This window comes from Homo sapiens, chromosome 4, assembly GCF_000001405.40.
Source record: "Homo sapiens chromosome 4, GRCh38.p14 Primary Assembly".
Classification (NCBI taxonomy): domain Eukaryota; kingdom Metazoa; phylum Chordata; class Mammalia; order Primates; family Hominidae; genus Homo; species Homo sapiens.
Window position 1 is genome coordinate 7,831,228 of NC_000004.12, and position 14,605 is coordinate 7,845,832.

Sequence of the window (14,605 nt, forward strand, 5' to 3'; positions counted from 1 at the left end):
TGACTTTCCTTTCTAATCAAGACTTCTTAGATTCCTGTACCATTATATGTACTGGAAGTAACATCACAGACATGAAAAATAGAGTAACTGAACAATTTAAACTCTTTAGAAAAGATACTTTACCCCGTATTATTTACTTTCCTTTTAAGAAAAATCAGCAAATGCTAAAAAAAAAAAAAAAAAATTCTTGCAATTAACTTCCGTTCATAAATGGAGTCATCATTCTATAATTAGCTAAGTGCCTCTGATCTATAAGTAGCTCCCATCTGGTGAAACACGATACAAGATTATTTCACCCCATCAGCGTCTGACATCTTGAGAAAGTTTTGTTTTTACTGGTCTGTTTGTCAGCGCACTGTCGGCTCTACGCCCTCTCCCAGTGACACTCCAGGATGACTTCATGTCAGACCAGCACCAGCAAGAAGGGGGCTGCTCTTCAGTGTGCAGGAAATACTTAACTAACTGTAAGGACAGAGGAGAAAAAGAAGAAAGCTGAAATTTCAGAGCGGCCTTTTTTGGGTTTCCACTGAGGAAGAGCTAAGCACAGAACGCAGAAGGATGGGTACAGGTGACCAAAAGCATGGGATCGGGTGAAGAAAACAGAATCATACAGAAAGCTTCACACTGAATTCCATAATTGTCGTTCCCTCCTTACGGAAGGGATGGCACTATGGTCATAGAAATGTGGAATAAAAGAGGGAACGGCAAACTGTCAGATGGCCCAACACAGTGAGAATGAAATGTGAAGCCAGGAAACCCTGACTTAGACCCCCTGCTTGATCGCTATGGATCATGGTAGCACTTCGCCCACCTGAGACTCAGGCTGTCAGCTGACAAATGAAACTACACACGCCTGCTTTGAGGTTAAGAAGCAATGATGGCAGAGAAGTCCCTTGTGAGTGTAAAGGGCTTTAGTGAAATTGGTAATGGTGGTGGCTGATGTATAACATATTAAAGTTCCATGCTGGGAAGGCTAAGTAAGCTCGACAGTAGAAACTTCCAATCACAGGACTTCCAGAAGGATCATCTGGAGGGGAAAAAAGCTCTCCTGAATCTCCCGTATGATACAGATGTGGGAAGAGCCTCAGCCACTGCCAATAACATGAAAAAAAAAAAGCATCTGTGTGTCCTGAGCAGCTGGCAGACAGCGGTGGGAGCCACTGCTCTTGTCATGGGGTCAGAACCACATGCTTTCCTGCGGATGACAGCGAAAGAGACTGAAGGTTTGATGGAGGGAGACCTGTGTAGTATAAGACCTTCTGCTATGAAGTGTTCTACCAGGTTTTCCCACCCCACTCCTGAGCCCTTTTCTCACAACAGGTACTTGCCGGCAACGATGGACTAGGTGGGTTGGGCCAATCTTCCTGATGAAGACAATTAGAAAAGCAAGATAACCGTCACTCTTCACAGAACTAGAAAAAACAATCCTAAAATTCATATGTTAAAAAAAAAAAAAGAGCCCACATAGCCAAAGCAGGACTAAGCAAAAAGAACAAACAAAGGAAGGCATCACATTACCTGATTTCAAACTACAGTATAAGGCCATAGTCATCAAAACAAAACAGCATGGTACTGGTATAAAAATAGGCAAATAGGCCTAGGGAACAGAATAGAGAACCCAAATACTTACAGTCAACTGACCTTCAACAAAGCAAACAAAAACATAAAGTGGGGAAAAGACACCCTTTTCAACAAATGGTGCTGGGATAATTGGCTAGCCTCATGTAGGAGAATGAAACTGGATCCTCATCTCTCACCTTGTACAAAAACCAACTCAAGATGGATGAACGACTTAAACCTAAGACCTGAAACTATAAAAATTCTAGAAGATAACATCAGAAAAACCCTTCTAGACATTGGCTTAGGCAAGGACTTCATGACCAAGAACACAAAAGCAAATGTGATAAAAACAAAGTTAAATAGCTGGGACTTAATTAAACTAAGGAGCTTTTTCATGGCAAAACCAGTCAGCAGAGTAAACAGACAACCCACAGAGTGAGAGAAAACCTTCACAATCTATATATCCCACAAAGGACTAATATCCAGAATCTACAACGAACTCAAACAAATTAGCAACAAGAAACCAAACAATCCCATCAAAAGTGGGCTAAGGACATGAACAGACAATTCTCAAAAGAAGTTATAGAAATGGCCAACAAACATACAAAAAAATGCTCAATATCACCAATGATCAGGGAAAGCAAATCAAAACCACAATGTGATACCACCTTACTCCTGCAAGAACGACCAGAATCAAAAAATAGTAGATGTTGGTGTGGATGCGGTGAACAGGGAACACTTCTACACTGCTGGTGGGAATGTAAACTAGTACAACCACTATGGAAAACAGTGTGGAGATGTCTTTTTTTTTTTTTTTTTTAGATGGAGTCTTGCCCTGTCACCCAGGCTGGAGTGCAGTGGTGCAATCTTGGCTCACTGCAACCTCCTCCTCTCAGGTTCAAGCAATTCTCCTGCCTCAGCCACCCAAGCAGCTGGGACTACAGGCACGTGCCACCATGCCTGGCTAGTTTTTTGTATTTTTAGTAGACACAGGGTTTCACCGTGTTATCCAGGATAGTCCCGATCTCCTGACCTTGTGATCTGCCTGCCTCGGCCTCCCAAAGTGCTGGGATTACAGGCACAAGCCACTGCGCCCGACCTGGAGGTTTCTTAAAATAATTAAAAGTAGAAGCACCATTCAATCAGGCAATCCCACTACTGGGTGTCTACCCAGAGGAAAAGAAGGCATTATAAAAAAAATACACTTGCACACACATGTTTATAACAGCACAATCCACAATTGCAAAAATGTGGAACCAACCCAAATGCCCATCAATCAACAAGTTGATAAAGAAACTGTGGCATACACACACACACACACACACACACACACACACACACATATATACAATGGAATACTACTCAGCCATAAAAAGGAATACATTAATGGCATTTGCAGCAACCTGGATGAGATTGGAGACTATTATTCTAAGTGAAGTAACTCAGGAATGGAAAACCAAACATTGTATGTTCTCACTCATAAGTGGGAGCTAAGCTATGAGGATGCAAAGGCATAAGAATGACACAGTGGACTGTGGGGAATGACACAATAGACTTTGGGGATTCAGGGAAAAAGGGTGGGAAGGAGGTAAGGGATAAAAGACTACCAACTGGGTGCAGTGTATACTGCTTCGCTGTTGGGTGCACCAAAATCTCACGAATCAACACTAAAGAACTTACTCATGTCACCAAACACCACCTGTTCCCCAATAACCTATGGAAATTTAAAAAAAATTTTTTTCAAAAAAAAGCAAGATAAAATAGAGGAAGCATCTTTCCGAAAGCATAAGGCAGCTACTATGATAGTAAGCAAGGCCTGGGCCAAAATCCAGAAGAAGATGGAAATTCAGAAGGGAAGCCTGGTGGCTGGGACTGCCTTGCTACCCCAAGGGGGCAGCTGAGGGGCAAGGCAGAACCTCCAATGGCTCAGTGGGAAGAGAGATCCAAGCTGTAGTCCAGGGCATGCCAAAGAGGGGGTCCCTGGCAAAATACCCATAAGCAGGATGGAGACCCCAACGGAATGTAACTTGGAGTTAAGAGTGAACTGAAACAAATATAAACCTGCCTTTGAATGGACTGCGGGTGGCCTTAAGGTTACCTGGGTGGCTCTTGAATGGACTGCGGGCAGCCTTAAGGTTACCTGGGTGGCTCTTGAATGGACTGCGGGCTGCCTTAAAGTTACCTGGGTGGCTCTTGAATGGACTGCGGGCTGCCTTACAGTTACCTGGGTGGCTCCTGAATGGACTGTGGGCTGCCTTAAGGTTACCTGGGTGGCTCTTGAATGGACTGCGGGCTGCCTTAAGGTTACCTGGGTGGCTCTTGAATGGACTGCGGGCGGCCTTAAGGTTACCTGGGTGGCTCTTGAATGGACTGCGGGCTGCCTTAAGGTTACCTGGGTGGCTCTTGAATGGACTGCGGGCTGCCTTAAGGTTACCTGGGTGGCTCTTGAATGGACTGCGGGCGGCCTTAAGGTTACCTGGGTGGCTCTTGAATGGACTGTGGGCTGCCTTAAGGTTACCTGGGTGGCTCTTGAATGGACTGCGGGCGGCCTCAAGGTTACCTGGGTGGCTCTTGAATGGACTGTGGGCTGTCTTGAGGTTACCTGGGTGGCTCTTGAATGGACTGCGGGCTGCCTTACAGTTACCTGGGTGGCTCTTGAATGGACTGTGGGCTGCCTTAAGGTTACCTGGGTGGCTCTTGAATGGACTGCGGGCTGCCTTAAGGTTACCTGGGTGGCTCTTGAATGGACTGCGGGCTGCCTTAAGGTTACCTGGGTGGCTCTTGAATGGACTGCGGGCTGCCTTAAGGTTACCTGGGTGGCTCTTGAATGGACTGCGGGCTGCCTTAAGGTTACCTGGGTGGCTCTTGAATGGACTGCGGGCTGCCTTAAGGTTACCTGGGTGGCTCTTGAATGGACTGCGGGCGGCCTTAAGGTTACCTGGGTGGCTCTTGAATGGACTGCGGGCTGCCTTAAGGTTACCTGGGTGGCTCTTGAATGGACTGCGGGCGGCCTCAAGGTTACCTGGGTGGCTCTTGAATGGACTGTGGGCTGTCTTGAGGTTACCTGGGTGGCTCTTGAATGGACTGAGGGCTGCCTTAAGGTTACCTGGGTGGCTGAAAACCTCAAACCCTGAATTGAGAATAAACTAATTTTGGAGCGCTAACACCCCCAAGTGTGCGGGAGAGGCAAGGGAAAATGCTCCTTGGTAGTGGAAAGCAGAGTTCTAGGAATCAAGTTATTTCCATAGGAACAACTGGGGACCCCCGTGAAAAAGAATGAAGTTGGACCCCTACTTCACAGTGTATGCAAAAAATTAAATCAAAGTGGATCAAAAATCTAAATGTAAGAGCTAACACTGTAAACTTCTCAGAATAAAATACACATGTAAACCTTCAGGACCCTGGATCCAAGTAATCAGTTCTTACATATGACCCAAGAAGCAATAAAGAGCAAGGAAGAACTGAAATCTGCTTCAACATGGACGGACCTTGAAAACACGACGCTAAATGAAAGAAGCCAGCCACGAAAGCCCAAGTACTGTAAGAGCCACTTCTGTGAAATGCTGACAACAGGCAGCTCTACGGAGACAGAAAGCAGGTAAGTGGCTGCCTAAGAAGAACAGGGGTGGTGGCAAAAGGGCAATGACTGCTAATGGGTATGGCGTTCTTTGTTTTTGAGACAGGGTCTCGCTCCTATCACCCAGGCTGGAGTACAGTGGCGCAGTCACAACTCACTGCAGCCTCAACCTCCCAGGCTCAGGTGATTCTCCCACCTCAGTCTCCAGAGTAGCTGGGACTACAGGAACGTGTCACCATGCCTGGCTGATTTTCTGTATCTTTTAGCAGAGACAGGGTTTCTGCATGTTGTCTAGGCTGGTCTCAATCTCCCAGGCTCAAGCTATCGGCCCACCTTGGCTCCCAAAGTGCTGGGATTACAGGCATGAGCCGCTGCGCCCAGCCAGTACAGTGTTCTTTTTGGAGCGACGAAATTCAGCATCTAGACTATGGTGATGGCTGCACAACTCAGTGAATATACCAAAAAAAAAAACACAAACCACTGAATTGGACTTGAAAAGGGTGAATTTATGGTATGTGAATTATCCCTCAATAAAGCTGTTATAAAAAAAGATTTCAATAATTTTTCCCCTAATATAATGCCTAGCGTGAACTTGAGATAACCTGGCACAAGGATGACAAAAATGACATGAACAAGTACAGCACAACAGACAACAGAACCAGGTTCAAACTCCACCAAAACCACTGTCAAACCACCATGCTGATGACATTTATGAAGATAAACGTCAAGTAAACGTTTCTAAAAGAAATTTAACAATGTACAAATAGTATTTCCAGCCTGAAGAAGAAACAACTAGAAATTCTAGATACAAGCCAAAATGAACTCTAAAACAAAAACAAACCAAAAAGATTAGAGACTCTAGGACTGAACACTACTGCCATGGACGGAATGTGTTCCCCCAAATTCATATCCTGAAATCCTAACCCTCAAGAGGATGGTGTTATGACGCAGAACCTCTGGGAGGTGACTAGGTCATGAGGGCAGAGCCCCCATGAATGGGATTGGTACCCTTATAAAAGAGGCCCCAGAGACCTGCCTTGTCCCTTCCGCCACATGAGGACACAGATGGAAGATGCCATCTGTGAACCAGGAAGCAGGCCCTCACCAGACACTGAATAGAACGGTCCCTTGATCTTGGACTTCTCAGACTCCAGAACCGTGAGAAATACATTTGTTATAAATAAGCCACTCAGTTTATCATATTTCATCAGAGCAATCCAAGTAGACTAAGACAACTACCATCACCAAAATTAAGAACCCAGTGAACAGGAACACATTTAATAGCAGATTAGAAGCAGCCAAAGACAGAAATAATGGGCTGGAAAGGAACAAGAAAAATAAACCAGACTAAAGAAGAAAAAAGAATGGTTAGGGCTGGACACGATGGCTCACACTTGTAATCCCAGCACTTTGGGAGGCCAAGGTGGGCGGATCACTTGAGCTCATGAGTTTGAGACCAGCCTGGGCCACATGGAGAAATGCTGTCTCTAGAAAAGATACAAAAACTAGCCAGGAATGGTGGCATGTCATGCGAGCTAACTTGGGAGGCTGAGGTGGGAGGATCGATTGAGCCCAGGAGGCAGAGGTTGCAGTGAACCACGATCATACCGCTACATTCCAGCCTGGGCAACAGAGCCAAGCCTTGTTTCAACAAACAAAGAAAAAAGGTTGGTAAATACAAAAAGAAACCAGAAGTAAATATAGTGAGAAAGTCTAACATATATTTAAATGTAGTCTCAGGGAAGAAGGAGAAATGGGGAAAAGCTGTATTTTAAGAAAATGGCTGAAAAAATTTTCCCAAACTTAGAAAGATAAAAATCCACAAGATTTCAGAAGCCCAGCCAATCCCAACCAGAATAAAATTTAAAAAGAATTCATATGCAGACACAATAAAGTGACACTGTGGAAAATAAAAGAGAAAGTCGTCGAAGCAGCCTACAAACAGAGACAAGCTGCCTTTTAAAGATAAGAGTGAAAGTGACGCGGGGTTTCTGATTAACCTCCATGTCATCAGAATATTTAGCTATTAAAGACAAAACTCTTTGGGTGAATCCATCTTGCCTATGCTTGAACAAAATTAAAATTAAAATTAAAATTAAAATGGATCTCAGAAAGGCATGTGGAACTGAAATGGCTGTGAAACACAGCAGACAACCTACCTTCAGCCACTGCTCGGCCTGTTCCTTGCTCTGGACGGCGAGAACAAGCGGGTCCGTGCCCTGCTGAGTAATCTTCAGCTCGTGCTTCTTCTTTTTGCTGTCTTTCGGGATGTACGTAATGTTACAGCCTTGGAGTGGCAGTTCCATCTGAGGCTGCTGGTCCTTGGAACTTTTATAGCACTGCATTCAACACAACAAATCAACTGATATTATAAGGGAGTTCGAACAGAAACACTGAGGAAGCTCTAGCATCATGAAAACCTGAGTGCGGGCAAGGCATCTGAAAGTCTGAATCTGCAGATGAGCAGGTTCACACACACACACACACACACACATACACACAGTGCTCTTCACAGACACTTCGCCTCCAAGTGTGAAAAAGTACATCCATTCACTGATTCAGAAAAACTTACTGAGCATCTATCACAGGATTCAACAAACACCAAAAGTCCCTACTCTGATACAGTTTATGATCCGGTGGGGCTTCTTCATTAAATTACATGAATGTATTTACATAAATAAAAACATAGGCTGGGCACGATGGCTCACGCCTGTAATCCCAACACTTTGGGAGGCTGAGGCAGGTGGATCACTTGAGCCCAGGAGTTCAAGACCAGCCTGGGCAACATGAAGAAACCCCATCTCTACCAAAAACATAAAAAATTAGCCAGGCATGGTGGCGTGTTCCTATAGTCCCAGCTGCTTGGGAGGCTGAGGCAGGAGGATCCCTTGAGCCTGGGAGCCCGAGGCTGCAGTGAGCCATAATACCACCACTGCACACCATCCTGGGTGACAGAGACTCTGTCTCCAACTAACAAAGAAAAACAAAACAAAACAAAAAAACCCAACACACACAAATATATATTTAACATAAATGTTTATTTAAATGTATATATAAAATACATTTATATTTATGTGAATAATATATAAAATATACTATTAGATTTGTTGCAACTCCACAGCCCTAATGAGAGAAAATGGAATAATTTGGATACTTTATCTAATAACCTATATTGCTTGTTATCTGCCTATCTCATCTTCTCTTTCTGAAAGACACAAATTATTTTAGTAAGAGGATAACAGCAATGTATAATATACAAAGCTGATCCATCTACACAACTGACATTCACTCTAAAGATTTCGACTGGTAAGGTTAGAACTGAGACTTAACTCAAATGGCTCTTGCTTAATCTTTATCTGTAAAACTGAGAATCAAATCATTGCCCAAAGCTTCCCTTACCCCCGTTTGTTTACCTGTACTACTTGGGGCCAAAGCATACCTCCTAACAGTCCAAGAGGGCAGATCTGGGTCCTAGATCTACTACTAATTTATCTGCATCCCAGGGAGTTTCTTAAACTTCCTGAGTCTGTTTCCTCGTTTGCAAAATGTGTTTTGCAGTTATTGTTATTATTATTTTATGGAATTAAGTTATTAGCAACAATAACATCTGCTACCAAGTGCTGAATGTCGACATCATATGAGGCATTTCAAGCACCTCAATCAGCATGGTGGCTCATTCTGCAGATTATGAAACCGAGGTGCAGCTGGTTAAGTCACCTGCCTGAAGAGTCAGGCAACCTGAAAAGTGACAGACCAGGACCAGACCAGGACTCCAGCCCCAATTGTGCACGTGCAGAGCCTGCATCTTGACTCTAAACATTCACTGATGTAGGAAGGAATGAATAGATAGTTATTTTCAGAAGTGATTTCTAGAGTCCTTTCTGGTTTGTTTTTGGGATGTGTGTGTGTGTGTGTGTGTGTGTTCCTGGTTTGTTTTTGGGGTGTGTGTGTGTGTGTGTGTGTGTTTGAGATGAAGTCTCTCTCCGGTGCCCAGGCTGAAGTTCAGTGGCACGATCTTGGCTCACTGCAACCTCCCCCTCCTGGGTTCAAGCGATTCTCCTGCCTCAGCCTCCTGAGTAACTGGGAGTACAGGCGTGCACCACCACACTCGGCTAATTTTTGTATTTTTAGTAGAGACAGGGTTTCACCAGATTGGCCAGGCTGGTCTCGAACTCCTGACTTCATGATCCGCCCGCCTCAGCCTCCCAAAGTGCTGGGATTACAGGCCTGAGCCACAGCGCCCAGCCTTCCTGTTTTGGTCTTCTAAATCCAGGACTTTGAAGTACACAGATAAGAAATACATCCCCTTTTTAAAAACTCAACTGATCTGAAAAGGAAGAAAAAAATACCTCAACTAACCTCAGATTTTTATGAATGTTGACCATTTGAGATTTTCTGCATTTTGAGTATGTATAAAAAGAAAGGTGAAAAGCAACTAATCGTACAATGGAAGGAATCGGAAAGGGAATTTTATTTTTTGATTTTAAATTGTGTAAACCTTTTTAATCGACATGTAATAACTGTACATATTTATGGGGTACAGAGTGATGCTTTGATACAGAAAATGTATAGTGATCAGATCAGATAATTAGCAAACCCCACATCTCAAACGCTTATCATTTCAGAAAGGGAACTTTATAACATATTCTTCCTTAAGTTAAATGCCTCACGAGAGATATGCAATCAGCAATAGGGACAGGCTGCAATCTGGCAGTCCTAGCAGGCGGGATTTCCTGGGAAGCCGCCTCTATAGCAGGCAGCAGCATGCAGGAGGTTTATGAATGGGCGTCCTGAAGACAACACCAGGAGCAAGGAGAGGGAGGAGTGGGGTGGGCAAAGACGCCCAGTTTGAGTGGCCTCAGGGATACCACCATGAGAGCTCTGGGGCTGGAAGGCCCCATCACAGCTGCCCAGTGAGTCTGGGTCTATACCTCCCACACACACACACTGAATGCAGACCCCTGGGGAGGGAGCTCTGCCTTGGGCTCTAGGCCCCTCTTCAATGCAGACAGTCCCCGAGGTGGGCTCACCAGCCCTGCCAAGGAAATGCAACCTTCAGTCCTGAAGCGGGAATCTAGGTACATCACAGTACCCACCCCAGAGCTACCTGAGCACAGAAGGAACAAGTTCCAGAAGGAGATGGAAAAAAAGCTGTTAATGGCGGTAACTTGTGGGAAGACAGACTGGGAACATTTAGGGGAAGAACATGGCTTTTCCTTTTCTGTGCTGTTTAAACTTGGAAAGTATTTGCTTTGATCACTGTTCATTATTTTTTATGCCAATGGGGGTCATCTGGGCCCTGAATGATAGGTCATTTTTGAAAGGAAAAAAGCTTCGTAATAAAAGTCAATAACTTTGATTCTGCATTTGACCAAACAGTGCTTTCACCTGCTTTTCCACTAATTTCTTCTTATTCACAACTACTCTTAGTAGTAGGTATTATCATCCTGGTTTTGAAGGGGGAAAGCTGGCAGGGGCCCAAATGGAAGACAAAGCAGGGGAGGGGGGAAGAAGTTAAGAAGTTAGGGGGTGAGGGAGAGGAGGGCAGGGGAGAGGGACCAGGGACTCAGAACCCCAAACTGCTAATCCCTACACACAACCGCGAAGCTTCCCTCACTGGATTTGGAAGCTTCTCTTTTAAATGAAAGTTGATTATGTATTTCTAAAACATTCATATAATATATCCACATCTTGTAGCCATTATATCAGACTGGAAATAAGGACCACATTAATCTTCTTTTTTTCATTTTTTAATATTCCCCATGGCATCATTTTTGGCACATTCTAAATCTGGGAGAAATTCAGGCCACATTTGTGGAAAAAATATGTACTCTGTTTTAAAAAACTGAACAAAAACATTAAAAAATATATAATATCCTAGGAACTTAGTAAAACAAAAAAAGATTCCCACAATTCAAAGATGAAACCTGGATTTACAAAAAAAAAAAAAAAAAAAAAGATAAAAAAAGGATTATCTGCTCCACTAGAGTGCTCTACAGAAACATAAATTCTTGTTTTCTAATTAATGATATAATTTTGAGCAATGATTCCCCCAAGGTTAATCTGAAGGAAGAACAAAAGGCAAAAACATACTTTAAAGTTCATAATTCTAATAACCAACCATGGTTTCTAAAAAAAAGGCAGGAGGAAAAGAAGGAAGGTGGGGAGGGAGTGGGGAGGAGGAAGGGACGCCACACCGTCCTCCCGGAATGCAGCCTTCCTGCTGGGGTCTCCACTGGAATAATCCCACAGCAAGGTCCAGGTTCTCGCCTTCCCTGCTTCTCTGTTCCTTACTTGTCTTCCTGCTCTGCCTCTCAAATTTAAAAAAAAAAAAAAAAATGGGAATTGGCCCCAAGCTTTCCAGAAGAATTTCCTTTCCTGGCTGCTCCCCGTCCCACTTCTATGAGCTGGCTTTGAGGAATCCACTGACTCACTACAAATGAGAAAATCCATCTTGCAACTCCTGGCAAGTTAAAATCTTGTGCATTTCCACAGACGCAAACCACAGGCCCTGCCCGGGAATGGGAATGATTTTGTTCGCTGGCTGCTTTTGGAGCTGGGAAACCGGCAACCTTGAACACACAACACGGGCGAGTGCTCCCTGATGGCATGTGGGGGCCCCTGGCATGGTACTGCGGCTAGCTCAGGGCACCTGGCTGACACCTGAGTGCTGCCCTTCCTGCACAGCTGATGTTAATGGTGACTGGATATAAACGCCATGGCTTCTGAGTGCAGCAATCTTACAAAAAATGCAAGCGATTCCAAATGTCTTACCAGCAGTTTGGTGTCTTTGATGACGCAGAGCAACTTGGTCCACTGGCCGAACCGCTTCTTCCGCAGCAGGAAGGCGCAGATTTTGGCGTCCTTGACCAGGTCCATGGAGGCCTCCTCGGAGGGCCACTGGTGCCGGGTTTTCTTCCCCTTCCCATCCTCCTCCTCTTCATCATACGACTCATAAGAGCTGCTCATCGCATCGGAATCATAATCTGTAAAAAATAAACATACACTGGTAAAAAGGACTTCTTTACCTTGAAGTTTACCCGTGGGCTCAAGAGCACGTCCTCTTATTTTTAATCACCAAGTAACTGAATGAGAAAGGGACCTCTGCTCCTTAAGGGAAAAAACAAAAACAAAAACAAAAATAAAAAAACAATGCTAAGACTTGGGCAGTGGAAACTCAATGACAAGGTGAAGTGCCTACAAATTCTGTGTTTATAAAAACTGTTTCTAGACTGTTTCATATGGACGGGACCCCACGCTGACCCGACACTGACTCCTCACCACATTCTTGCAGGACGAGCGCCATCCTCATTCTGCAGAGTGTTCCGCCATACAGAACTCTTGCCCATGGAGGTCCCTTGCCCTCCCACGTCCGCACCTTTATGTCAAAGACCTCCCAAGGCTGCAATCTGCTTCTCCCTGCTGGCATCCCCACGTGCACAACATCTCTGACACTCAATATGCAACCAAGGGCCACCTCTCCCTTCTGGGGCATCCTTGGAACTTTGACAGAAATGTACACCTGTCCTTCTAATGGTGCCCACCTCACTCTGTGACACACTGGCATGTATACTGCTGTGACTGACAGTTTCCCAAACACATCACCCCTCTGCCACCTCAGGGTCTCTGCATGTGCCACGCCCTCTAACAAGCTTCCTGTCCATCCACTCGCCCTCCTGCCTTTGCCTGGTAAATGCTCTCATCTTTTGGGGTTTAACTTCCTGACACCTCCAGCAAACCCTCCCTGAATCACCAAAGCTGGGTGCTATGGACTGAACTGTGTCCCTCCCGGAAATTCAAGTGTTGAAGCTCTAACCATATGACTATATGTAGAGATAGGACTTTTAGGAGGTTACTAAAGTTAAATGAGGTCCTAAGGGTGGGGTCCTAATCCCATAGGTCTGGTGGTCTTTTAAGAAGAGAGAGAGAGAGAGAGAGCTCTGTCCCCACCATGTGAGGACACAGTGAGGACTTAGCCATCTAAAAGCCAGGAAGAGGCCTCGCCAGAACCCAACCGTGCTGGCAGTCTAACCTGGACTCCCGGACTGACGAGCTTCTGCTGTGGAAGCCCCCCAGTGGTGGCATTTGTCACTGCGGCATGAGCAGACTAATACACTAGGTCAAATGCCCTTCCTCTGAGCCTCCACACGGCCCAACACAGAGCGGATCGCAGCACACCTCAACACTGGCCCCCACTGCAGGCTGTAAGCCCCCTGAAGAAAAGGAGACCATCTCGTTGGCGGTGATCTCCCCGGCACCTAACAAAGTACCTGGCACAGGGCAAGTGCCCAAATAACTGTAGAAGGAAGCGCGTTAAATGTCTTTAAATTAAACTGGCAAAGCCCTTGGAAGGGCCAATGGCGTAGTAAAAGGTCTTCCTAAATACCAGCGCCCGTCATTCCTCTCATTACTTTCAGCTGCGCTGGATGATAAGCTCCCTGAGACAGGATCTGATTCATCTCCAAATTCCCCTCAGCCCCCAGAATCATCTGGAACACGTTTCTTTTTCAAAACATACTTAAGGGATGAACACCTAAATGATAGATGAATGAGAGATAAGGAGAACAATGGCCAATGCGGTTGCAATACTGTGCAAAATGGCAGAGTCTGCACAGAAGAGAACTCATATTTTTACTTGCTGGAAACTGGAGTTTAAGTTGTACTCAGTAATCATGTTTGCCTTATAATTTCCTTGCAAAGATTCAATACTAGCAGGGAGGAACAGAAAGATTTAGAGTTTAAGTTGAATTTTCAACAATGAAAAGTTGTCCAGGAGGCCAGGTGTGGTGGCTCACACCTGTAATCGCAGCCCTTTGGGAGGCCAAGGCGGGCGAATCACTTGAGCCCAGGAGTTCAAGACCAAGCCTGGGCAACATAGCGAGACCCTATCTCTATAAAAAGTAAAAGGCTAGCCAGGCATGGTAGGGCACGCCTGTGGTCCCAACTACTCAAGAGGCTGAGGCAGGAGGATCACTTGAGCCCAGGAGTCCGAGGCTGCAGTGAGCTGTGATCCTGCCACTACACTCCAGCCTGGGCAACAGAACAAGATTATTATTATTATTATTATTACTTTAAGTCCAGGAAGGATTTTAGGCAAAAGCTAAGGAGATTGAAGAGGTAACTTTGGCAATGGCACTAGGAATGGGCTGAAGAAGGGACGAGGTAAGAGACAGGAGCAGCTCAGAGGCCACGAGGGATGCAATGAGGGGCTGACTCAAAGGTGAGAGGCGAACAGAACACCCTGGTCTGGGTCACAGGTCTCTGCCCCGCTTCTGCCCCTGCTTCACATCACCCTCCGCCCACAGGTGGGTCGTTCTCACTGGCTCCACATCCCCCTCCAACACACCCCACACACCCATCAGCACCTACACTCACCAAGCACCCCCTGCTTCACAGGGCAGCCACAGGGGGTTACTTACATTTCAATTTTCATTCAAGTCCCACATGTCAACTGGATACCGGGGCCCA

General features: G+C 45.3%; 1 protein-coding gene across 9 annotated transcripts in view, besides 3 other annotated features; it reads right to left on the reverse strand.

Moving 5' to 3' along the window:
- AFAP1 (actin filament associated protein 1) overlaps nt 1–14,605 on the reverse strand; it is a 181,149-nt gene that overhangs the window by 72,515 nt on the left and 94,029 nt on the right. For all 9 annotated transcript variants that reach the window (NM_001371091.1, XM_006713909.4, XM_047416061.1 and 6 more), the window contains 2 exons: nt 11,912–12,123; nt 7,297–7,476 (listed from right to left, as the gene is read on the reverse strand). In NM_001371091.1, the coding sequence (NP_001358020.1) occupies nt 7,297–7,476; nt 11,912–12,123 (392 nt within the window). The remainder of the gene's footprint in view (nt 1–7,296; nt 7,477–11,911; nt 12,124–14,605) is intronic.
- Nucleotides 175–469: an enhancer, noted in NCBI's record as "tiled region #14367; K562 Activating DNase unmatched - State 9:DNaseU". NCBI's record gives its function as "activates a minimal TATA promoter and a strong SV40 promoter by Sharpr-MPRA in K562 cells {active_cell/tissue: K562}" and the evidence as "EXISTENCE:reporter gene assay evidence [ECO:0000049][PMID:27701403]".
- Nucleotides 12,520–12,700: a silencer, noted in NCBI's record as "fragment chr4:7845474-7845654 (GRCh37/hg19 assembly coordinates)". NCBI's record gives its function as "represses an EF-1alpha promoter that drives an FKBP-Casp9 reporter gene in an ReSE screen in phorbol 12-myristate 13-acetate-treated (for megakaryocytic differentiation) K562 erythroleukemia cells {active_cell/tissue: K562(+PMA)}" and the evidence as "EXISTENCE:reporter gene assay evidence [ECO:0000049][PMID:32094911]".
- Nucleotides 13,188–13,237: a silencer, noted in NCBI's record as "silent region_15253". NCBI's record gives its function as "represses an Ori minimal core promoter by ATAC-STARR-seq in GM12878 lymphoblastoid cells {active_cell/tissue: GM12878}" and the evidence as "EXISTENCE:reporter gene assay evidence [ECO:0000049][PMID:35858748]".